This window comes from Homo sapiens, chromosome X (assembly GCF_000001405.40).
Source record: "Homo sapiens chromosome X, GRCh38.p14 Primary Assembly".
Taxonomy (NCBI): domain Eukaryota; kingdom Metazoa; phylum Chordata; class Mammalia; order Primates; family Hominidae; genus Homo; species Homo sapiens.
Genome location: NC_000023.11, coordinates 46549477 through 46573761, shown reverse-complemented (window position 1 = coordinate 46573761; position 24285 = coordinate 46549477). Strand labels below are relative to the sequence as shown.

At 44.9% G+C, this 24285-nt stretch overlaps 1 pseudogene, besides 2 other annotated features; it reads left to right on the top strand.

The window, feature by feature from the left end:
* On the top strand, nucleotides 11002–12470 carry MKI67P1 (marker of proliferation Ki-67 pseudogene 1; annotated as a pseudogene).
* Nucleotides 11126–11655: an enhancer, noted in NCBI's record as "active region_29571". NCBI's record gives its function as "activates an Ori minimal core promoter by ATAC-STARR-seq in GM12878 lymphoblastoid cells {active_cell/tissue: GM12878}" and the evidence as "EXISTENCE:reporter gene assay evidence [ECO:0000049][PMID:35858748]".
* Nucleotides 21259–22157: an enhancer, noted in NCBI's record as "OCT4-NANOG-H3K27ac hESC enhancer chrX:46411040-46411938 (GRCh37/hg19 assembly coordinates)". NCBI's record gives its function as "activates a minimal SCP1, AML or CMV promoter by ChIP-STARR-seq in primed H9 embryonic stem cells {active_cell/tissue: H9 hESC(primed)}" and the evidence as "EXISTENCE:reporter gene assay evidence [ECO:0000049][PMID:30033119]".

Genomic DNA, 24285 nt, shown 5'->3' with positions numbered 1-24285 from the left:
GGCGCCCCTGCCCTCTCGGCTTAGCAGCCGGAGAGCCGCCTATTGGCCGGCTTGGCAGCCGCCCGCCCCGCCTTTCTGCCCGCCTGGGTTCGCCCACGGCTCTGCCAGATCTGGGCGGGGCTGTAGCGGGGCTGGGACGCCGGCTTACCCAGCCAGACCCCCACCTTTCCCCAAACCCTCCGTAATGAAGTCTTCATCAATGACTTCAGGCAAAGGAGGGGCCTGTGTGTACAGAATGTACCCAGTAAAGGGCCATAGACCCCACCCGGAGAAGGTCACTGCCTCTTCTGTTTTATGTCCCCTGCCTAGCCATCGCTATCCTAGGCAGATAAACACTCGCCACTATACATCCAGCGCCCCCATCAGCCCTGGAGTGGGTGTTACTGAGTTCCGGACTGAAAGATAGAAGATTGTACGTGGCAGAGCGGTCCAGGGGGGTTGGAGATACTACTGCATCCACGCAGCACATTTCATAAAGTCTAGCCTTTGTGAAATTCTAAGTGTTGTGTTCCTTAGGGTTTCACCAGCTGATGGGCTCTGCACATTTTACCAATACTCTGGGGCCCAGTTTGGTCATTTGTAAAATGTGAATAATTCTTAGTACCCATGTACCTCCTGGGATTGCGAGATTTGGGGGTTGTTACCACAGTATAACCCAGCCTATTCTGACACCTATGAGCAAAAGACATTTACAGAATCAAAGTGGTAGAATGGTGACCTTTCTCAGGAGCTCGGTGTTTAAAAGGACCCGTAAGAAGAAATGTGTACCCAAAGATAGATGAAAAAGAGACAGGAAGTCCAACAGGCAGATGAAGACTAGAGTTACTAAAATTCAAAACAGAACCAAAAAAGATACATTTTGCTCTGTTTCATCAGGCTAATGAATAAGGAAGTGAGAGCTTCCTTTCACCAGCTTGGGGAAGGTGTTGTAAAGTTAATAAAACATAGAAAGCATATCTACTTATCTCCACCAGGGGAAGGTGTTCAAATTGGAAGAGTGAGAACATATGCAATGCTCTCCACTGGTCTTTTTCATCACGGAAGCTACTCCACCTGTGAAACCACTGACTCAAGCATTTCGTTTTCTTTCCACAATTCCCCTCTTCTTCCAGCCAGTTGTTCAAATCTTCCCTATTCTCCAACCTCCACTTTTTGACCACCACCCCCACTTTCTTCTCAATTTTTCATATTCAGCTGAAAGATGCCATACCATTATTTTAATAACACTCCCTCCAATAAGCTAAACTCACGTGCCCTCTGCCTTTTCATTACTCATCTAGCAAAATCCCCCAAACCCTGCTTTTGGCTTTCTCTGTGCCTGCAAACACCACTGCGAAACATTTCTCCACAGGTGTGAGCCAGGCACAGTGGCTCACGCCTGTAATCTCAGCACTTTGGGAGCCCACAGAACAGATCAGCATCAAGATAACCTCATAATCATCAACCTGAAATGGTTGCTGAAATCTTAGGTTCTTCATGTCACTTCCCAGTCTCCAGTTCCATTATGATGATTTCAAACCTTCTCTAGTCTCCTCAGACTTCTGATACCCCTCTTCCCCCACCCACCTCTTCTCAGCACATGACCTTACTGCCTACTTCATAAAGAAACCATGTTAGACGATCTCTCACTTTTCCACTACCAAACTCATATATGCATTGACCTCTGTACACATCTCGTTTATAGCAAGGATATGATTTTGCAATATTAATCTACAACTTTCCCTTCTGTTTTCACTTTTCCCTCCTCTCTGGCTTTTTTAAAAAGCTTTGAGACAGGGTCTGGCTCTGTCACCCAGGCTGGAGTGCGGTGGCACTATCACCACTCACTGCAGCCTCAACCTCTCAAGCCCAAGCGATCTTCCTACCTCAGCCTCCCAAGCAGCTGAGACCACAGGCATGTGGACCACACCCAGCTAATTTTGTTTGTTTGTTTGTTTTTTGTAGAGACCGGGGTCTGTATGTTGCCCAGGCTGGTCTTGAACTCGTGGGCTCAAGTGATCCTCCCACTTCGGCCTTGTGCTGGGATTACAGGCCTGAGCTACTGTGCCTGGCCTCCTCTCATCTTTTAAGCAAGTAGGTGGCTCTGTGCTGGTGTGAGGGGAGAGGTGTGGCTGGGCAGAATGCAAATAGTTGCTGGTGTTTCCCGCTTCCCCCCACCCCCCGCCCTCCGCTCCAAAAGCCTCAACTCTGATAGTGGAAAGTGTGATAGGTTTTTTAAATAACCACAAAGTATTCCCCTCCTCTGTTTTGCCTTTGGGCAATGCCTTCCCATACTGACTCTGGGATGACCATGTGGCTTGCATTGGCCTGTGGGACAGTAGCAAACATGACACAGCAAAGGTTTGAAAAATACTCCTGCTGTGGGAATTGCCCTCATCCTGCTCTTTGGAACCCTGAGATCGGCTCGTGAAGAAGCCTGGGTTAGCAACATGGCTCAGAAAATAAGCCCTCCCAGCTGAGGCCCCCCACCCCCCAGACAAACAAGCCTGCTGACCGCCAGACAGGTGAGAAAGGAGATAGATCCTCGACCAGTGCTTCTCAAACTTTAATGCTTGAAGGCTCCTGTCAAAATGCAGAAAGTGGGCCTGGCCCAGTGGCTCACACCTGTAATCCCAACGCTTTGGGAGGCCGACGCGGGTGGGTATCCTGAGCCTAGGAGTTCAAGACCAGCCTGGGCAACATGGTGAAACCCCGTCTCTACCAAAAACACAAAAAAAGTTAACCAAGCATGGTGGCGTGCACCTGTAGTCCCAACTACTTGGAAGGCTGAGGCGGGAGGATCACTTGAGCCCAGGAGGTGGAGATTGTAGTGAGCCGAGGTCATGCCACTGCACTCCAACCTGGGTGACAGAGTGAGACCTCATCTCAAAAAAAAAAAAAAAGCAGAAAATGATTCATTACACCTAGGGTGGGGCCAGAGAGACTACATTTCTTTTCTTTCTTCTTCTCCTTCTTCTTTCTTCTTTCTTCTTCTTTTTTTAAATAGACAGGGTCTTCTCTCCCTCTGTCACCCAGGCTGGTGGAAGGCTGGAGTGCAGTGGCGTGATCATAGCTCACTGCAGCTTCAACTTCCTGGGTTCAAGCAATCCTTCTCATGCCTGGCTAATTAAAAAAAATTTTTTTTTAGGCTGGGCGCGGTGGCTCACGCCTGTAATCCCAGCACTTTGGGAGGCCAAGGCAGGCGGATCACGAGGTCAGGAGTTGGAGACCAGCCTGGCCAATATGGTGAAACCCCATCTATACTAAAAATACAAAAATTAGCCAGGTGTGGTGGCACATGCCTGTAGTCCCAGCTACTCGGGAGGCTGAGGCAGAAGAATCACTTGAACCCGGGAGGCAGAGGTTGCAGTGAGCCAAGATCGTGCCACTGCACTCCAGCCTGGGCGACAGAGTGAGACTCCATCTCAAAAAAAAAAAAAAAAATTGTAGGGTCTTGCTATGTTGCCCAGGCTGGTCTTGGACTCCTGGCCTCAAGCAATCCTCTTGCCTCGTCCTCCCAAATTGCTGGGATTACAGGCACGAGCCACTGCACTGGGTCCTGAGACTACATTTCTAATAAGCTCCTGGGTGCTTCTGATGCTCCTGGTCTGAGGACCACACTTAGAGTAGAAAGGTGCTACACCTTCCTGCCCTAACTGAGCTGACCCACCAAATTGTGAGAAATAATAGATGTAAGTTTTAGGGGTTTGTTTTGTAGCAAAAGCTAGCTGATATAAAGAAGGTGTGAGGGCTTAGACGAAATGTTTTGGAGAAGCAAAAGAAAGAGCAGCAGCACTCTAGTGCCCCCAACCCCACTGAGACATTTTCCTTAGGCTAGGAGGAGTGGGCAAAGGGAGAAGTCTATGGATCCTGCAGCCCAGGGCACCTGAACTCTTTTTCCTGGCAATGTGTCAGGGCAGAGCAGGAGTCAAAGAGAAGTGGCCACATGGTTCAGCTTGACAGAGATGATCAGGGGCACTGTGCCAAACCTTCCTGGGCCCCAGGCATAGCTTGGAAGCAGCAGAAGGGTCAAGTGACAGTGATGGAGACATCTCAGGGCAACTAGGTGAGCCAAAAACCCAATGATTCTAAGACCCCAGATCAAGAGTACATACAACCTTGGGAGTAGAGGAACCCTAGGAATTAATAAGGTCAATCAATGGTCTGTCATCCTAGCAGAAGGAAAACTCAATCAGAATTAAAGTTGTTTTCTATTAAGTGATTTCTATCACATCTAAGTTACTAGATCTGCTATCCATTTTTCACAATAGAGTGGTACAATAGAGTAGGCCCCGGTCCCTCCTATCAATCACCATTTCTCCTCCCTATTCAACTACACCCTCTCAACCAGATTATTTCCACTGATGTGAAAATTAAACAGTTTGATCTCTTTCTCTGTTTCTTCCTCTATCTCTCTCTCTTTAAAGTCCCATTTATTTGCATCCTCCTTTAGCATAGCTGCTGCTAACACATACAGTACCCTTGTGAGAATCAGAAAGTGCCCCCTCCAGACAGATGAATTGCAAGGGGGCTGACCCCATTCAAATAAGTACCCCTTCCTTCAGGCCACAGCCCCAGTCCAAGGTTAACAGCTTGAAGGCAGAACCTGGCCAGATTCTAGCCCGCTGTTGCATCTTTCTGCCAGGTACCCTCACTCTGCCCTTCTCCTACCCTTGTCCTGTTGCCACTGGTTTCTCTACCCACTCCTCACAGCCCAGCTTCTTAGTAGAGCTGTCTATACTAGTTCTCTCTGTGCTCTCATCTCCTACTCATTCTGTGGCAGGCCAGGTCTCCCTAACGGCTGAACAGGCAGGCCTCCCTAACAACTGTTTCAGCACTGAGTGGTTAAGCTAACTATTAAAAGCTAAGAGAGCCAGTGCCCTTATACAAAGGCTGGAAGGTAACAAAAGCACACCAAGAGTTTTGCCTAGGTCTTTCCTGGGCCTTGAAGCGTGACAAGAGAAGGAAGGAGTTCTTAACAGGACCCATTTAAGATTAAACAAGTTTCTCTGGGTGCAGTGGTTCATGCCTGTAATCCCAGCACTTTGGGAGGCCGAGGCAGGCAGATCACTTGAGGTCAGGAGTTCGAGACCAGCTTGGCCAACATGGTGAAAACTCGTCTCTACTAAAAATACAAAAATTAGCCGGGCGTGGCATGCACCTGTAATCCCAGCTACTTGGGAGGCTGAGGCAGGAGAATCACTTGAACCTGGAAGGCGGAGGTTGCAGTGAGCCGAGATTGAGCCACTGCACTCCAGCCTGGGCAATGAGTGAGACTGTGTCTCAAAAAAATAAAATAAAATTTAAAAAGATTAAGCACATGTTATTAGTGGTCTGAAGGAACTCCCCAAACCTCCATGATTTAGCAGGAGATAAGATAAGGGCAATCACCCCAGCACCTGGATCCATTTAGATTAAGTAAATTTACTGAGGCTCCAGAGGAAGGTCTTCAGGACTCAGACCTTAGTTATAGATTAGAAGAAGTTAATCACTTATGTCTTTAGATGAATGCACACTTACACGTAGACATGTAGCTTAGAAGGTATGTAAGCTCTGGAAAACTTTGTAATTTTGAGTTGGTCTGGTGATAATTTCCAGGCCTTCTCCCTGCACCTGGTTACAGAAATAAAAACTCTCTTCTTTCCCAGTTCACCTGCATCTTGTAATTGGGCTGAGAGAATAAGCAGTCCGACCCTCGGCTTGGTCCAGGAACAATTCCTCAGCACACTCCAATCTGAGTTCTGCCCCCATATTGCCACATCATCAGTTCTTTCTAAGCTTATCAATGGCTTCCATGGTTTTTTTTTTTTTTTTGAGTTTAGCTAGGATCACAGATTCACACCACCACTCCCAGCTAACTTTTTTATTTTTAATTTGTGTAGATACGGAGTCTTCCTATGTATTCCAGACTGGTCTCCAATTCCTGGGCTCAAGCAGTCCTCCTATGTTGGCCTCTCAAAGTGCTGGGATAACAAATGTGAGCCACCATGCCTGGTGCCATGTTACTGAATCCAGGACACTTTCATGGCTCACCTTACTTGACCTTTCAATAACATTTTTAACTGACACATTGTAAGTGTACATATGTATCAATAACATTTAACACTGTTGACAGTTCCCACCTTCAAATCATCTCTTCTGCCAACTTCTATGACATCACATGTGAACTGTTCTCCTAGTTCATAGCTACACCTTCAGAGCATAGCATTTGAGAGATTGACCTTTGGAGTCAGGCCACCCAAGTTGATATCCTTTATCCTTTGGAGTGAGGCCACCCAAGTTCATAGGCCAGCTCCACCACTTCAGCTCTATGGCCTTGGGCAAGTAAGTGAACCTCTCTGTGCCTCATTTATCAAACATTAGTTCTAATAGTACCTATCCTCCCCTATCCTGCAGGGTTGTTGTAAGAATTAAATTATATATATATATATATATATATATATATATATATATATATATATGCAGTCATGTGCCACCTGATGTTTTGTCAATGATGAGCTGCATATACAAGGGAGGTCCCATAAGATTCTAATACCTTATTTTTATTGTACCTTTTCTATGATTAGATGATATGTTTAGATGCGCAAATATGATCTCATGTTACAACTGTCTACAGTATTCAGTACAGTAACATGCTGTACATATAGCCTAGGTGTGTAATAGGCTATCCCATCTAGGTTTATGTAAGTACACTTTATGATGTTTGCACAATGATGAAATCGCCTAACAACGCATTCCTTGGAATGCATCCCCATCATTAAACAATGCACAACTGGGTGTGGTGTGTGTGTGTGTGTGTGTGTGTGTGTGTGTGTGTGTATAATCCCAGAACAGTGTATCCCATAGAGTAAGCTTTAAGTCTTATGAGTCGGTACATTGTTGCTGCTGTGGGAAGCTGATTCCCCAGGCCCTCTTCCTTTTCACTTTATGATCTCTTCAATGACTCCAAATTGACATTTCCAGCCCCAGCCTCTCCTTGGGGCTCCACACCTAGAAATCCAGTTGCCCACTTGACATTCCCTCTTGGTTGCCTCAATGGCATATCAATTTTAATATGTGAATGATAAAACTATCTATTCTATTATGCAGTCAGAAACTTAGGAGCCATTCTGGGTATCTCCCTCTTCCTCAGTCCCTCTTCTTCAATCCAATCTATCATCAAGTCAGGTGGGTTTTACCTCCTAAATGTCCTTTCAAATCATTCACTTATCTTCATTGCCATTGCTACTACCCTAGCTCAGAGGACCAACTGTCCCCTAGAGCACTGTAGAAACTGCCTAGCCAGTCTCTGTTTCTATTTTGCCCTCTTTTAATTTTTTTTTTTTTTTTTGAGACTGTGACTCACTCTGTCGCCAAGCATGGAGCGCAGTGGTGTGATCTCAGCTCACTGAAACCTCTGCCTCTCAGGCTCAAGTGATCCTCTCTCCTCAGCCTCCCGAGTAGCTGGGATTACAGGCGCACACCACCACGCCTGGCTACTTTTTTTGTAGAGACAAGATTTCACCATGTGGCCCAGGCTGGTCTTGAACTCCTGGGCTCAAGCGGTCTGCCTGTTTCGACCTTCCAAAGTGCTGAGATTAAAGGCATGAGCCACTGCACCCGGCCTAATTTTTAATCAGTGATAGATTTCGGTCAATGCCATTTCTCTGCTCAGAATCTGTCTTGGCTTCCAATTGGTCTTTGGATAATGATGCAAATCATTAAGGTTTGAAAATTATGTTGTTAGAGGTCTTGAATGCCAGACCTTATCATGGTGTCAAGCACATAGTAGGTGCTCAACAAGCATTTGTTGTCTGATTGACTGCTGGGAAGAAGCACTTTACATTTGAGCTTTGATAGCAAACTACTGATGATTTGTATTGAGGGAGTAAGTAACGTTAGCAGAAATGACTTTCCAAAAATAGTCTTGCTGGGATCCCATAGATTGGGATTGAGAGAGGAAGACCTATTGGGACAGAATGAAAGAGCAGAGAATTTGAAATAGATGGCAGTTGGAAAGAAAAAGATGAATAGAGATTGGGAAGGCAGAATCTGCCTGCTTGGCTGAGAAAAAAATAAGACTAGCATTTTAGACTGAGAAAAAGAAAAAAAGATTTCTTTTGATTCGTTTTTTCTGCTATCCTCTCTCTCTCTCTCTCTCTCTCCTTCTCTCTCTCTCTCTCTGACAGGATCTTGCTCTGTCACCCAGGCTGGAGTGCAGGGGTATGATCATGGCTCACTAAAGCCTCAACCTCCCAGGCTCAAAGGATCTTCTCACCTCAGCCTCCTGAGTAGCTGGGACCACAGCTGTGTGTCACCGGGCCTGGATAATTTTTTAATATTTTGTGGAGATGGGGTCTCACTATGTTGCCCAGGCTGGTCTCAAACTCCTAAGCTTAAGCGATTCTCCTGCCCTGGCCTCTCAAAGCGTGGGGATTACAGGTGTGAGCCACTGCTCCTGGCCAACATGCCTTCTAAGGATTTTCACAGTCTGGCTCTAATCTACCTCTACAATCTCCTTTTCTGTTTTTCATGAGGTTTCCAACATTATAAATAGGGGTGCTAAAATCACATCTTTACTACTTTCAAAACAATGGACCTAGAGACCAGACTTTTTCTTATGTATTCAAATATTTATTCAAAAATATGTATCAAGTGCAATCATGTATCTGGGGTTGTGCTGGGCAGAGGAGGTACACAATGAGCAAAACAGTCCCTGACCCTGTTGTCCCTTCCAGCCTAAGAGAGGAGACCAACTTTAACCAAATCAGTCTCCTAATGTGTGAATAACCCCAAACTGAACCAAGTGCTTGAAGGAGAGGAACGCAGTTCTGTGAGAGTGTATAACATAAAGGTCTGCCCCAGGGCTGGGCGCAGTGGCTCACGCCTGTAATCCCAGCACTTTGGGAGGCCAAGGTGGGTAGATCACTTGAGGTCAGGAGTTCGAGACAAGCCTGGCCAACATGGTGAAACCCTGTCTCTACTAAAAAATACAAATTTTCCAGGTGTGGTGGCGGGCGCCTGTAGTCCCAGATACTCGGGAGGCTGAGGCAGGAGAATTGCTTCAACCTGGGAGGCGGAGGTTGCAGTGAGCCGAGATTGTGCCACCGCACTCCAGACTGGGCAACAGAGCGAGACTCAAAAAAACATCTGCCCACACACACTCTCTCTCTGTCTCTCTCTCTCTGTCTCTCTCTCTCTCACTCTCTCTCTCTCTCTGTCTTCTCTGTGTGTGTGTGTGTGTGTAGTAAAGACTTCCCACAGGGGATGCTTGAGCAGAGATCTGAAGGTGGAGAAGGACCTGACTGAATGAGGTGGAAATGGAACATGATGGGTTCAAGAAACTTAGACCATGTAGCTATTCTTGCATATTTATTTTTTCATATGAACTTTAGTATCAACTTGTTTAGGTCCAGAATAAAAGCTTATTGGTATTCTTACTGAAAGTTGGTAAGTTTATAACATAACATAGGAAGGAGAATTGACATCTTCATGATATTGACTTGACCTATCTGTGAGAGCCACCATTTATGTAAGAGAACATAAACAGAGGTTCCAAGGATCAGGACATGGATATCTTTAGGGGCCATCATTCTTCTCCGCACAAGTACTATTTACAATAATACCAAAGAAGGCCAGGTGCAGCGGCTCACGCCTGTAATCCCAGCACTTTGGGAGGCCAAGGCAGCCGGATCACTTGCGGTCAGGAATTCAAGACCAGCCTGGGCAACATGGTGAAACTCTGTCTCTACTAAAAATACAAAAATTAGCCAGGCATAGTGGCAGGCGCCTGTAATCCCAGCTACTCAGGAGGCTGAGGCACGAGAATTGCTTAAACCCAGGAGGCAGAGGTTTCAGTGAGCTGAGGTCGTGCCACCGCACTCCAGCCTGGGCAACAGAGCAAGATTCAATCTAAAAATAAAATAAAATAAAATAAAACCAGAAAAATGAAATATTTAGGTGTACATTTCACAAATATGTCCTAGATCTATGTGCTGAAAACTACAAAACAATGATGAAGGAAATAAAAGAGAGCTAAATATATGGAGATTTAGAAATGTATGGAGAACTGTGTTCATGGATTGGAAGACTCAATATTGTGAAGATGTCAATACTCTAAAAATTTATCTATAGATTCAACACAATTCCAGTCCAAATCCCAGCAGGATTCTTTATAGATATCAGCATGGTGACTCTAAAATTTACATGGAGAGGCAAAGAAATTAGAATATTCAAAACATTTTTTAAAAATAAGAACAAAATTGGAAGATTCATGCTACTTAATTTTGAGACTTACTATAAAGCCACAGTACTCAAGACAGTGTGGTATTGATGCAAGGATGGATACGTAGGTCAATGTAATAGAATAGAGAGTGCAGAAATTTACCCATACTTTTTACAAAAATTCACTTAAAATTAATCATAGACCTGGCTGGGCCTGGTGGCTCATACCTGTAATCCCAGCACTTTGGGAGGCCAAGGCGAGTGGATTGCTTGAATCCAGGTGTTTGAGACCAGTCTGGGCAACATGGTGAAACTCTGTCTCTACAAAAAATAAAATTAAAAACAAAATTAGCCAGGCATGGTGGCACATGCCTGGGAGCTACTTGGGAGGCTGAGGTGGGAGGATGGCTTGAACCTGGGAGGCAGAGGTTGCAGTCAGCAGCGATCACACCACTGCACTCCAGCCTGGGTGACAGAGCGACACCCTGTTTAAAAAAAAAAAAATCAATCATAGACCTAAATATAAGATGTATAACTTTTAGAAGAAAACACAGAAGAAAGTCTTTGTTTTCTGGTGTTAGGCCAATAATTCTTAGATATGACACCAAAAGCACTATCCATAACAGAAAAATTTGATAAGTTGGACTTCATGAAAATTATGAGCTGTTGCTCTGCAAAAGATGCTAAGAGGATGAAAAAACAATATACTGGGAGAAACTATTTATAAATAACATATCTAACAAAGGACTTGTATCCAGAATATACAAAGAGCTCTCCAAACAATGAGGAAACAAACAATCCAATATAAAAATGGGCAATAAACCGTGGAAGCAAAGGACCAGTAGGTGAAGATAAAGGCATCAGAGCATTTAAGGAATCTGCAAAGCAGACACTGGCTCCAGCAGCAAGTGTAAGTGGCAGCAGGAGATGGCCAAGAGCACCCAGGGAAAAGGCGCAAGCCCTAGAAGACCTGGCTGGCTTCAAAGACCCAGCACCAGGTCATACTGAAGAATCAATGACTCATGACAAAACCACCAAAATACCCTGCAAATCACCACCAGAACTAGTAGACACTGCAACAAGCTCAAAGAAATGGCCCAGGGCTTGTGGCCAGAAAGTAGAAGTGAAAGAAGAGCTATTAGCAGTCGGCAAGCTCACACAAACATCAGGGGAGACCACGCACACCAATAAAGAACCAGAAGGTGAGGGCAAAGGCATGAAAGCATTTAAGCAACCTGCAAAGCAGAAGCTGGACCCAGAAAATGTAACTGGCAGCAGGAGATTGCCAAGAGTGCCCAAGGAAAAGGCCCAACCCCTAGAAGATCTGGCCAGCTTCCAAGAGCTCTCTCAAACACCAGGCCACACTGAGGAACTGGCAAATGGTGCTGATAGCTTTACAAGTGCTCCAAAGCAAGCACCTGACAGTGGAAAACCTCTAAAAATATCCAGAAGAGTTCTTCAGGCCCCTAAAGTAGAACCCGTGGGAGACCTGGTAGGCACCAGAGACTGTAAAATCACAAAGCAAAAGCAACACCTCCCTGCCCCCACTGCCCTTCAAGAGGGGATGTGGAAAAGATGGAAGTGTCACAGGAACCAAGAGGCCGCACTGCATGCCTGCACCAGAGGAAATCATAGAGGAGCTGCCAGCCAGCAAGAAGCAGAGAGGGTTGCTCCCAGGGTGAGAGGCAAATCACCCGAACCCTTGGTCATCATGAAGAGAAGTCTGAGGACTTCTGCAAAAAGAATTGAACCTGCAGAAGATCTGAACAGCAATAACATGAAAACCAACAAAGAGGAATACGAATTACAAGACTCAGTCCCTGAAAATAAGGGAATGTCCCTGCTCTCCAGACGCCAAAGTAAGACTGATGTAGAACAGCAAATAACTAAGGTCATTGTATTAGCAGAAAGAATTCAAATAAACTGAAATGAAAACAAGCCCATGAAGACCTCCCAAGACATGGACATTCAAAATCCAGATGATGGAGCCCAGAAACCCATACCTAGGGGCAAAGTCAGTGAAAACAAAAGGTGCTTGAGGTCTGTTAGACAGAATAAGAGCTCCCAGCCTAAAGTGGCAGAGGAGAGCAGAGGGCAGAAGAGTGCGGGGGTTCTCGTGCAGAATCAGGAAGGGAAAGGAGAAGCAGGAAATTCAGACTCCATGTGTTTGAGAGCAAGAAAGATGAAAAGCCAGTCTGCAGCAAGCACTTTGGAGAGTGAATATGCACAGAGTAACGTGGAATGTCAAGAGGCGTGCAGAAAATCCAAAGAAGGCTGAGGGCTGGGTGCGGTGGCTCACGCCTGTAATCCCAGCACTTTGGGAGGCTGAGGCGGGCGGATCACGAGGTCAGGAGATCGAGACCATCCTGGCTAACATGGTGAAACCGCGTCTGTACTAAAAATACAAAAAATTAGCCCGGCGTGGTGGCGGGCGCCTGTAATCCCAGCTACTTGGAAGGCTGAGGCAGGAGAATGGCGTGAACCCGGGAGGCGGAGCTTGCAGTGAGCCGAGATCGCGCCACTGCACTCCAGCCTGGGCAACAGAGCGAGACTCCATCTCAAAAAAAAAAAAAAAAAAAAAAAGAAGGCTGAGGACATTGTGTGCGTCAAGAAAATAAGAACCAGAAGTCACTGGGACAGTGAAGACATTTAACAAAGAAATCTAACTGGGAAAAATATAATAAAGCTAGTTTTGTGATAAACAAACAAACAAAAAGGGCAAAATATTTGAACAGCCATTTCACCAAAGAAGATATGCAGATGTCTATAAGGAAATGAACAAGCTGCTGAACATCAACAGTAAAATGCAAATTAAAGCCATAATGAAATACCACTGATGCACCTATTACAATGGCTTAAAAAAACTGACAATACCAATTGCTGGCCAGGCTGTAGAACAACTGGAACATTCATACATTGCTAGTGGGAATGCAAAAATGGTTCAGCCACTTTGGAAAAACAGTTTGGCAGGTTTTTAAAATAAAGTTAAAAATATATTTACCACATGTTCCACCAATTCCATGCCTACATATTTCCTTAAAAGAAATGAAAACTTATGTTCACACAAAATCCTATATGCAAATGTTGATAGCAGCTTCAGTCGTAATTGCTAAAAACTGGAAGCAACTGGTGAATGGAGAAACAAATTGTGATCAACCATACAATGGAACGCTACTCAGCAATAAAAAGGAACAGACTATTGATACACACAATGACACGTGTGGCTGAATCTCAAATACATTATTCTGTGAGAAAGAAGCCGGCTCAAAAGTCTACATTCTGTATTATTCCATTTATATGACATTCTGGAATATGCATAAGTATATTGACAGAGAACAGATTAGTCTTTCCAGGGATTAAGCACAGAGTAGAGGAATCAACCATAACAGGACAGCATTAGGTAGTTCTTTGGGGGGAATTAGAATTCTTCTGCATCGTGACTGTGGTAGTAGTTACATGGCTTGGTGAGTTTGTCAAAATTCGTAGAACTATACACCAAAAAGAATGAAATTTACTGAAAGATACATTTTAAAATAAAATAAAATAAACCCCAGGTATTCATGGCTCTACTTCCAATGCCCAAGCTGCCTTGAGCTTCTGAGCTCTAATGGATGAAAAGGTGGATGGATATAGGGTTTGCCTGCAAGCCTTGTCCAAGCCCTGTGATTTCACTCACATTATAGGTTGAGTTCTCTGGGAAGCAGACTCTGAGTTGGAGATTAGCACCCAGGATATCTTTTTGTTTTGTTTTTTTTTTGAGATGGAGTCTCGCTCTGTCACCCAGGCTAGAGTGCAATGGCACGATCTCTGTTCACTGAAACCTCCGCCTCCCAGGCTTGAGTGATTCTCCTGCCTCAGCCTCCCAAGTAGCTGGGATTATAGGCACCCACCACCACACCTGGCTAATTTTTGTATTTTTAGTAGAGATGAGGTTTCACCATGTTGGCTAGGCTGGTTTCAAACTCTGCACCCAGGAGATTTATTAGAGAGGGCCCTTGAGATCAACATCTATTGAAGGGAAGGGAAGGATGTAGGATTGGGCAGAGGGGCAAGTCAGGTGGCAGCACAAGCCCAACATTGTCTCTCTTGGTCTACCACATGGTGATCTTTGAAGATGAGGTGGTTATTCGGAGTTGTCGCTTGTTGAGGGGAGAGGGCTGGGCCCCCTGTTTTTCAGCTATTAGATGCAGGCTGACCCCTAGAAGGATGCAACTTTGGGTGAGGCAGCTCTTTTTAGCCAAGGCAATCACTGAAGTTGCTGACAGCTGAGGGTTTTCTGTGGGCACCGCTCCCAGCAGCTGGAGAATACTTCCTTTATTCCAGAAGGAGAATCTGGACAGCATCTACCACACTTCCTGACCTCTTCAAAAGAGGAGGTATTCCAATCTTTTTTACTACCTCCCAGAGGGCAGAAATGGTGATTTCCTGTTGAAATCCAGTGGCAGAACACTTACCAGGTCCTTTTGAGTTTTCTAATAAAAACATAAATCAATAAACAAACATATTTTCTGGGCAAAGAGTGGCTTCTCACAGGAATTTTTTCTAATTTTACACATTTTTCTTCCTTGTGATAATATGTATAATTTATTTTATGAGAAGTAAAACATAAATTGTAATAGAACTTAGTTTTAGTATTTTTTTTTTAAGAGATGGGTACTCATTCTGAAGCCCAGACTGGAGTGCAGTGGCGGCAATCATAGCTCACTGCAGCCCCCAATCTCTGGGGCTCAAGCGATCCTCCCACCTCAGCCTCCCAAGTAGCTGGGACCACAGGCATGTGCCAACACACCCGGCTAATTTTGTTTATTTTTGTAGAGATGCGGGTCTCACTATGTTGCCCAGGCTGGTCTTGAACTCCTGGGCTTAAGCAATCCTCCTGCCTTAGCTTCCCAAAGTGCTGGGATTACAGGTGTGCGCCACCGCCCCCAGCCACGTTTGCTAATTTCAACATTTTCTTAACAAAAAGGAAAATTAATTACATGGTGTAGGTCAGGCATCTTTTATAACACTCTTACTTCTTCACATTCTTAAAATGTTGACTTTCTAATGTGAAGACTGGACAGGCTTCCAAGCTCTGGTCAAAGTGGGGCAAGGATTACTCTAGAGAGATTGTTAGGATATCACTGTATACCACTCCATCTCCCATGAGTATACAAGTTGTGCTGTGAGAGGAGTTTCTCACCATCTTTTGTACTTAAACATCGCTTCATTTCTTGCTCCTCCTTAATCCTCTTCATAGCCTCTACCTAACCTAAAATATTGGGAATCCAAGGTTCCATGTTGGGCCCCCTCTTCTTGTACTCAACCACCTGAGATTTTCAATTCCCATGGCTTCTCCCAACAAGTTTACATTATTCACTCTTAAATATCATCTCCAGGCTGGGCATGGTGGCTCATGCCTGTAATCTCAGCACTTTGAGAGGCCGAGGCAGGTGGATCACCTGAGGTCACGAGTTCGAGACCAGCCTGGCCAACATGGTGAAACCCCGTTTCCACTAAAAATACAAAAATTAGCTGGGCGTGGTGGTGCCTGCCTGTAATCCCAGCTACTCGAGAGGCTGAAGCAGGAGAATCGCCTGAACCCAGGAGGCGGAGGTTGCAGTGAGCCAAGATCACGCCATTGCACTCTGGCCTGGGTGACAAGAGTGAAACTCTGTCCCTCCCCCACCCAAAGAAAAATCATCTCCAGATTTATCTCCTGAACTCCAGTTAGTCTCATGTTTTCAATTCTGTCTCAGCACCTCTACCTGATGTCCCCCCAACCCAGGTGCCCCACATTCATCTTGTCCCCAAGCAAATCCTCTACAAATCTGCTATTCCTCATGAATTTCTGTTTTGAATGTTATTATTACACAGCAAGATGCCAGAATTAGAAACCCCACAGTCATCTTTGGGCATGCCTCTCCCTTTCTCGGGCACCACATCCAATCAGACATCCTAGCCCCATAAGTCTACCATGCAAATATCTCTTAAATATGCCTCCATCATTAACTCTCCCCCCAACAAGACGCCACCATTCATCAATCCACATTGTGCTTTTCCTCTCTAGCTTTGTGTGATCCATCATCTCTTAATTGGTCTTTCTGCTTCCATCCTCTACCATCTCCACACCTTCTTAAGAAGGCTATCTGGGGCCAGCAGAATCAAGTCCACACTCCTTAGGACACCTCATAAGGGTTTTTACAGTGCTGTCCTTATTCCTTGGCCTGCCTTCTAAGGATTTTCCCAGTCTGGCTCTCATCTACCTCTGCAGTCTCTTTCCACTGCTTCCTCTCTCTTCCTCCTCCGTCCTGTATCCCAATTCTGTTGGCACACTGACTGTTTAATACTGTGAGTTCTAGTCAGAATTTTCTGGGTTTCACAAAAATGCTGAACAGTTTGATGCTTCTATATCTGAGCTCAAGTTGTTCCATCTGCCTAAAATACCTTTTGTTCACATTTCAGTCTGTCATATCTCACTTAAATTTGAAGCTCACATATAAAGTTCATTCAACAGAATTAATGATTCATTTTCTAGGTTTCCACCTTGTACACAGCTGCATTAAAACATCTCCTATGGCCAGGCACAGTGGCTCATGCCTGTAATGCCAGCACTTTGGGAGGCTGAGGTGGGTGGATTACTTGAGGTAAGGAGTTCAAGACCAGCCTGGCCAACATGGTGAAACCCCATCTCTATTAGAAATATAAAAAAATTAGCCAGGCTTGGTGGTGGGTGCCTATAATCCCAGCTACTCGGGAGGCTGAGGCAGGAGAATCGCTTGAACCCAGGAGGCAGAGGTTGCGGCAGGCTGAGATTGCACCACTGCACTCCAGCCTGGGGGACAGAGTGAGACTCCGTCTCAAAAAGAAAGAAAACCTCTTACATTAGTGTTATGAATTTGTTTCTCTTTCTGGATGGACTGTGAGCTCAGCAAGAATATCTGAAAGATGAGAGATCTCCAATTGATGTTCCGTTTGAACTAGTGAATGAAATATCCCTGGTATAATTGGCACATTAAGCTGAGAATACTAATTACATATACCTAAGAATGAATTTTAATTATATGCTATACTCTCGGTTAGAAAGTAGGGAAGCAAACTTTACTGTGTGAAGCTTAAAGGAAGGAAGAAATAATACTAAAGAAGGAATTTGAGAAACAGAAGAGTGAAGGCCCTGCATGGAAAAAAGGAGTGAAGAGAAATCAAAGGTGGACATTTTCTTAGAGACAGGGTCTCACTATGCTGTCCAGGCTGGTCTTGAACTCCTGGGCTCAAGCTACCCTCCCACCTCAGCCTCCCAAAGTGCCGGGATGACATGTGTAAGCCACCATGCCTGGCCTGAGATGGACATTAATTAAAGACAGATTTGCCCTCTTTAGCATTTTGTCCTTACTATTTTATTTTTGTAAATAGGTAGGCTGATGTGACCTGATGAGAAAATATCTAGTAAAAACACTGTGCAAACTAAGAATTGAAGACATTGAAAAATTCTTTTTTTTTTTTTTTTGAGACATAGTCTTGCTCTGTCGCCCAGACTGGAGTGCAGTGGTGCGATCTCGGCTCACTGCAACCTCCACCTCCCAGGTTCAAGCGGTTCTCCTGCCTCAGTCTCCCAAGTAGCTGGGATTACAGGCACCTGCCACCATGCCCGGCTAATTTTTGTATTTTTTTAGTAGAGATAGGGTTTCACCATGTTGGCCAGGCTGGCCTCGAACTCCTGACCTCAAGTAATCTGCCCACCTCAGCCTCCAAAGTGCTGGGATTACAGGTGTACAGTGCTGGCATGACATGCCTGGCCTGAAAAATTCTACTTTCTATATGTTATTTTTTAATTGTTCTTAGTCTTCTTTTCATAAATGTTACTTTTTAAAAAACATGCTCTACATGTTCAGAGAAACTTTCCTAGGAAGGAACTATAGAAACGATCCCTTGCTGGGCATGGGGGCCCACACCTGTAATCCCAGAATTTTGGGAGGCTGAGGAAGGATTGCTTGAGCCCAGGAGTTTGAGACCAGCCTGGGCAAGACAGTGAGACCCTGTCTCTACAGAAAAATTTTAAAAATAGCCCAGTGTGATGCTGTGTGCCTGTAGTCCCAGCTACTCAGGAGGCTGAGGTGGGAAGATTGCTTGAACCTGGGATGTCAAGGCTGCAGTGAGCCATGATGGCACTATTACACTCCAGCCTGGCTGACAGAGTGAGGCCCTGTCAAAAAAAAAAAAAAAAAGAAAGAAAGAAAAGAAAAGAAAAACAAATGACCCCTGAAAGCATAGTCTTTAAATGTTACTTCCTGATGAATGCCTTTTTGTAAATGAATTCAAGATGTAGATAAATGAGAAATGAAATAGAGACGATTATATTTCAGTTATATAGCTCACTCATCCATTTGGATAATTTTTCCATATTCTATAAAATGTCACCATCTGCTGGGGGAAGAAAAGATGTACAATTCAACTTTGTTGCGTAAGTGGTATTTCAAATCAACATGATTACTTAGAACTGTAGAACTTTTCTTTAGCAAGATGATTACACTAGCTCAGCTGGTGAAAAATTACCAGAACACATAGGCAAATACTATTCACCACTGTGCTTTGTTTGAGGATATTCTTTCTCCAATGGGCAATTCAGATCAATTATCCTTTAAAATGTTTTAACAAGTAGCACTTTTTGTTTGTTTGTTTTTTGAGTCTCGCTCTGTCGCCCAGGCTGGAGTGCAATGGTGCGATCTCGGCTCACTGCAACCTCCGCCTCAGCCTCCTGAGTAGCTGGGATTACAGGCACACACCATCATGCCCAGCTAATTTTTGTATTTTTGTAGAGATGGGGTTTCATCATGTTGGCCAGGCTGATCTTGAACTCCTGACCTCAAGTGATCCTCCTGCCTTGGCCTCCCAAAGTGCTGGGATTACAGGCATGAGCCACCTCGCCCAGACTCCTTTTCCATTTTCTATTCATATGTTCACTTTTACATACGTACACTTTTACATAAACACTTTTACATATTTTACAAATAGCAGTTTGTGGGGATATTTTTTTATTAGAGACATTGTAATCATCCAGTGGGTCCTTCTGTTAGAATAGGTAGCTAGGCAGACATGAACAGGGCAGGAGAAGGCCCCCAAATCCCCAGGCAACCATCAGGTGATGGTCAGGTGGTTGTTAAACTGTCTTGCTAAAATAATAATTGGTCGCAGCTGGCACCAGAGAAAGGCAATCTCTCAATGGATAGAAACACCTGAAGCTGGTAATGAGCAACTTCCAAATAAGATATCAGGAGTTAGGCAAACGGGCTCAAGTATGTGCACTAAGAGGCAAAATGGCGGAGTTTAACTGGTGTATGACATTCCTCTAGGAACGCTTGACTGGTAAGGGAAAAATGCCTCAAATGAGCATGTGCCTAACTTCAGTAAACACACTGTGCGTGCAGCCTCATCCAAGTGCTGGCAGGCCATGGTGCATGCAGACAGCCCACTCCAAGGAAAAACAGAGGAGAAATGGAAATCTCAGAACCATGCCAGCGTATAAAACAAGTCAAGGGCTGAACAGCACACTTGGATCTCTCAAGTTGCCCACTTGACCCTCTTCCAAGTGTACTTTACTTCCTTTAGTTCCTGCTCTAAAACTTTTAAATAAACTCTCACTCCTGTTCTAAAACTTGCCTTGGTCTCTCACTCTGCCTTCTGCCCCTTGGCCAAGTTCTTTCCTCCAAGGGGGCAAGAATCGAGTTTGCTGTATAGACCCGTTGGATTTGCTGCTGGTAACACTTCCTGCCCACTGCACAGACAAAATCAGTTTACTGAGACCATGGCATTGCAATAAAGAGTTTGGCTGGGTGTGGTGGCTCACATCTGTAATCCCAACACTTTGGGAGGCTGAGACAGGTGGATCACTTGAGGCCAGGAGTTCAAGACCAGCCTGGCCAACATGGTGAAACTCCGTCTCTACTAAAAATACAAAAAATTAAGGCCGGACATGGTGGCTCATGCCTGTAATCCCAGCAATGTCAGAGGCCAAGGCAAGTGGATCACCTGAGGTCAGGAGTTCAAGACCAGCCTGGCCAATATGGTGAAATCCTGTCTCTACAAAAATACAAAAATTAGCTGGGCATGATGGCATGTGCCTGTAATCCCAGCTACTTGGGAGGCTGAGGTGGGAGAATCGCTTGAACCCAGGAGGCAGAGGTTGCAGTAATCCAAGATCATGCCATTACACTCTAGCCTGGGTGACAGAGCGAGACTCAGTCTCAAAAAAAATAGCCAGGCATGGTGGCGCATGCCTGTAGTCCTAGCTACTCAGGAGGCTGAGGTAGGAGAACCATTTGAACCTGGGAGGTGGAGGTTGCAGTGAGCCAAGATCATGCCACTGCACTCCAGCCTGGGTGATGGAGTGAGACTCCATCTCGAAAAGAAAGAAAGAGTTTAATTGACATGAGGCTGGCCACGCCACGTGGGAGATGAATTATTACTCAAATCAATCTCCCTGAAAACTCAGAAGTTAGGGTTTTTCAAGGATAGTTTGTCAGACAGGGGGCTGATTGGTTGGAAGTGCAATTATAGGGGTGTGGAAAATGGTCCTTGTGTGCCAAGTCTGCTTCTGGGTGGGGGCCACAAGACCAGTTGAGTCATGAGTCCATCTTGCCAGTCCGGAGTGGAGCCATCCGGTCACCATAAATGCAAAAACCTGAAAAGACATCTCAAAAGGCCAATCTTAGGTTCTACAATAGTGATGTTATTTACAGGATTAACAGGGGAAGTTGCAAATCTTGTGGTCTCTGGAACAATGGCCATTAATCATTTAACTCCACCTACATCTTAGCAAAATTCAGGCCCCTTTCATCTTTCTTTTTTTTTTTTTTGAGATTGAGTCTTGCTCTGTTGCCCAGGCTGGAGTGCAGTGGCACTATCTCGGCTCACTGCAACCTCTGCCTCCCTGGTTCAAGCGATTCTCCTGCCTCAGCCTCCTGAGTAGCTGGGACTACAGGCACCGGCCACCACGCCCGGCTAATTTTTGTAATTTTAGTAGAGACGGGGTTTCACCATATTGGTCAGGCTGGTCTTGAATGCCTGACTTCAGGTGATCCACCCACCTTGGCCTCCCAAAGTGCTGGGATTACAGGGGTGAGCCACTGTGCCCGGCCTCATTAGTTTTACAAAGGTGCTTTAGTTTTGGGGAAGGGCTATTATCATCTAAACTGCAAACTGCATTTCCCCCAGTTAGCTTGGCCCATGCCCAGGGATGACCAAGGGCAGTTTAGAGTTTAAAGGCAAGATGGGGGTTGGTTGGATCAGATCTCTTTCACTGTTATAATTTTCTCACTGTTAAAATTTTTGCAAAGGCAGTTTCAATATCACCTCTCTTCTTAAGTGTTGCAAATATTCTTCCCAGTCTATAACTTGTCTTTTGATTTCCTATGGCATGAGGACTAAACTCTGATCTTGAAATTCCTATCTAAGGGGTCTGGGGAGTCATGCCCTACAAACTATAAAAATCTAATTCGATTTTTAAAATTAACCTGACACAATGTGGCTTACTTTCCAACCTGACTCTGGTATAGCATCACATGATAGATAGCAGACACTGAAGGAAACCAAATTATTTTATCCCAAAATATATTTCTTTGACATATTTTAAAATGGCTGCCACAGGGCCAACACATTGAAGTGACTCTGCAAAGCTGCCTTTTGCAGTGGAAATTTGCATTGGTAGAGAATCTCCATTAATGCACCCAGGCCTTCCCTTTCTAGGCCTTTTCCAGATCTAGGAGAGATTAACTGCCAGTCTGATGTCTTTAAGGTCTGAAAGAGACATTTACCATCTATTCTCTCTGAGGGCTGCTACTTAGGAACCTTCATCTACATAACAAGGTCCTCAGCCCCCATAACCCCCTTATCTTAACTCAAGCATTCCTTTCTACTGACTTCATGTCTTCAGACAACAGCTTAACTCTCTCAACCAACTGTCATCTAAAGAATACCTAAAACCGGCCGGTCGCGGTGACTCACGCCTGTAATCCCAGCACTTTGGGAGGCCAAAGCAGGCGGATCACCTGAGGTCGGGAGTTCCAGACCAGCCTGACCAACATGGAGAATCCCCACCTCTACTAAAAATACAAAATTATCTGGGTGTGGTGGCACATGCCTGTAATCCCAGCTACTCAGAAGGCTGAGGCAGGAGAATCCCTTGAACCTGGGAGGCAGAGGTTGCAGTGAGCTGAGATCATGCCACTGCAATCCAGCCTGGGTGACAGAGTGACACTGTCTCCAATATATATACATTTTTAAATGAAGTCTAGGATTTACTTTATGGCTTCAGGGTTGTCCTTCTGGTTTATGCTCCATCATGATGTTATATAATATTCATATATATATAATTTATTTATTTTTGAGACAGAGTCTCACTCTGTCACCAGGCTGGAGTGTAGTGGCATCATCTCGGCTCACTGCAACCTCCACCTCCCGGGTTCAAGCGATTCTTCTGCCTCAGCCTCCCGAGTAGCTGGGACTACAGGCAGGTGCCACCACGCCCAGCTAATTTTTGTATTTTTAGTAGAGACAGGGGTTCACCATGTTGGCCAGGTTGGTCTCAATCTCCTGACCTCGTGATCCACCTGCCTCGGCCTCTCAAAGTGCTGGGATTATAGGCGTGAGCCACCACACCCAGCCCGTATATATTTTATTATTTTTCATATTTAATTTTAATCCACTTGGAATTTGTCATTATATATAATATGTAGGGGTCCAGGATTTTTTCCTTACAGATTTATATCACATCAATCCTGTCAATTTTCACAAACTGAAAACACCTTTAATTTTCAATACATACATGGATATACATTGGAACTCTGCCTTCTACTGACGTTTTTGTCAACCATTATAACTTAGCATAAGTAGGTTTATAATAATTTTTTTTTGCAGCAGGGTCTCACCCTGTTGCCCAGGCTGGAGTGCAGTGGCATGATCAAGCCTCACTGCAGCCTCAAAGCTCTGGCGCTCAAGTGACTCTCCCACCTTAGCTTCCTAAGTAGCTGGGACTACAGGCACACACCACCATGCCCAGATTTTTTTTTTTTTTTTTGGTAGTGATGAGGTCTTACTATGTTGCCCAGGCTGGTCTCAAACTCCTAGGTTCAAGCCATCCTCCCACCTCAGCCTCCCAAAGTGTTGGGATTATAGGCGTGAGCCACCATGCTTGGCCCCTCTCAACTTATTTTTTCATACTTTTTAAGGTAAACGTCAGACATTTAGTCTTCCCTGTCTTGGGTACAACTGAGTGGGGATGGTGTTGTGGACAGTAAAGGAATTTTGCCAAAACAGTCATAGGTAAAGAAAGGCAGATTTATCAGAGAAAGTTTGAAGATACGTTGTAAGGGTTCAATGGGCAGCACAGCAGAGAAGAGGCTGTCTGAGAGGCAGGGGCTGGAGGTTTTAAGTTTTATAAGGTTGTGCTGGAAAGGCCACATGCAAAACAAGGTATCTGGGAACAGGATGTGTGCCAGCAGGTTGTCTGCAATTAGCCATCTATAGAACAATTGTTCTCTCTCACCTGGGACCCCTTCCTTCTTGTTGCTTACTTATCAGGACTCCACATTCCATATATTCTGATTCTGGATTTTTTTGTTTCAGTGATCTAATTCTGCTCTATGCCACATTATTTACTTTAGTTTATAATGCCCTCTAATATCTTGTAAGATGAGTCTTCCCATGTTACCTCTATCCACCAAATACTCTTAGTTGTTCATATATTTTTTCTGCCAATTAAAATGAAGTATAATTGTACTATAGGCCCCTGATCCCATTTAGCATATTGGTTAAATTGCCTTAAATCTATCAATTAGGCTTAGGGACAATTTCGGTTTTTTTTTTTTTGAGACGGAGTCTCGCTCTTGCCCAGGCTAGAGTGCAGTGGCGTGATCTCGGCTCACTGCAAGCTCTGCCTCCTGGGTTCATGCCATTCTCCTGCCTCAGCCTCCCGAGTAGCTGGGACTACAGGCACCCGCTACCATGCCCGGCTAATTTTTTTATATTTTTAGTAGAGACGGGGTTTCACCATGTCAGCCAGGTTGGTCTCGATCTCCTGACATGATCTGCCCGCCTCGGCCTCCCAAAGTGCTGGGATTACAGGCGTGA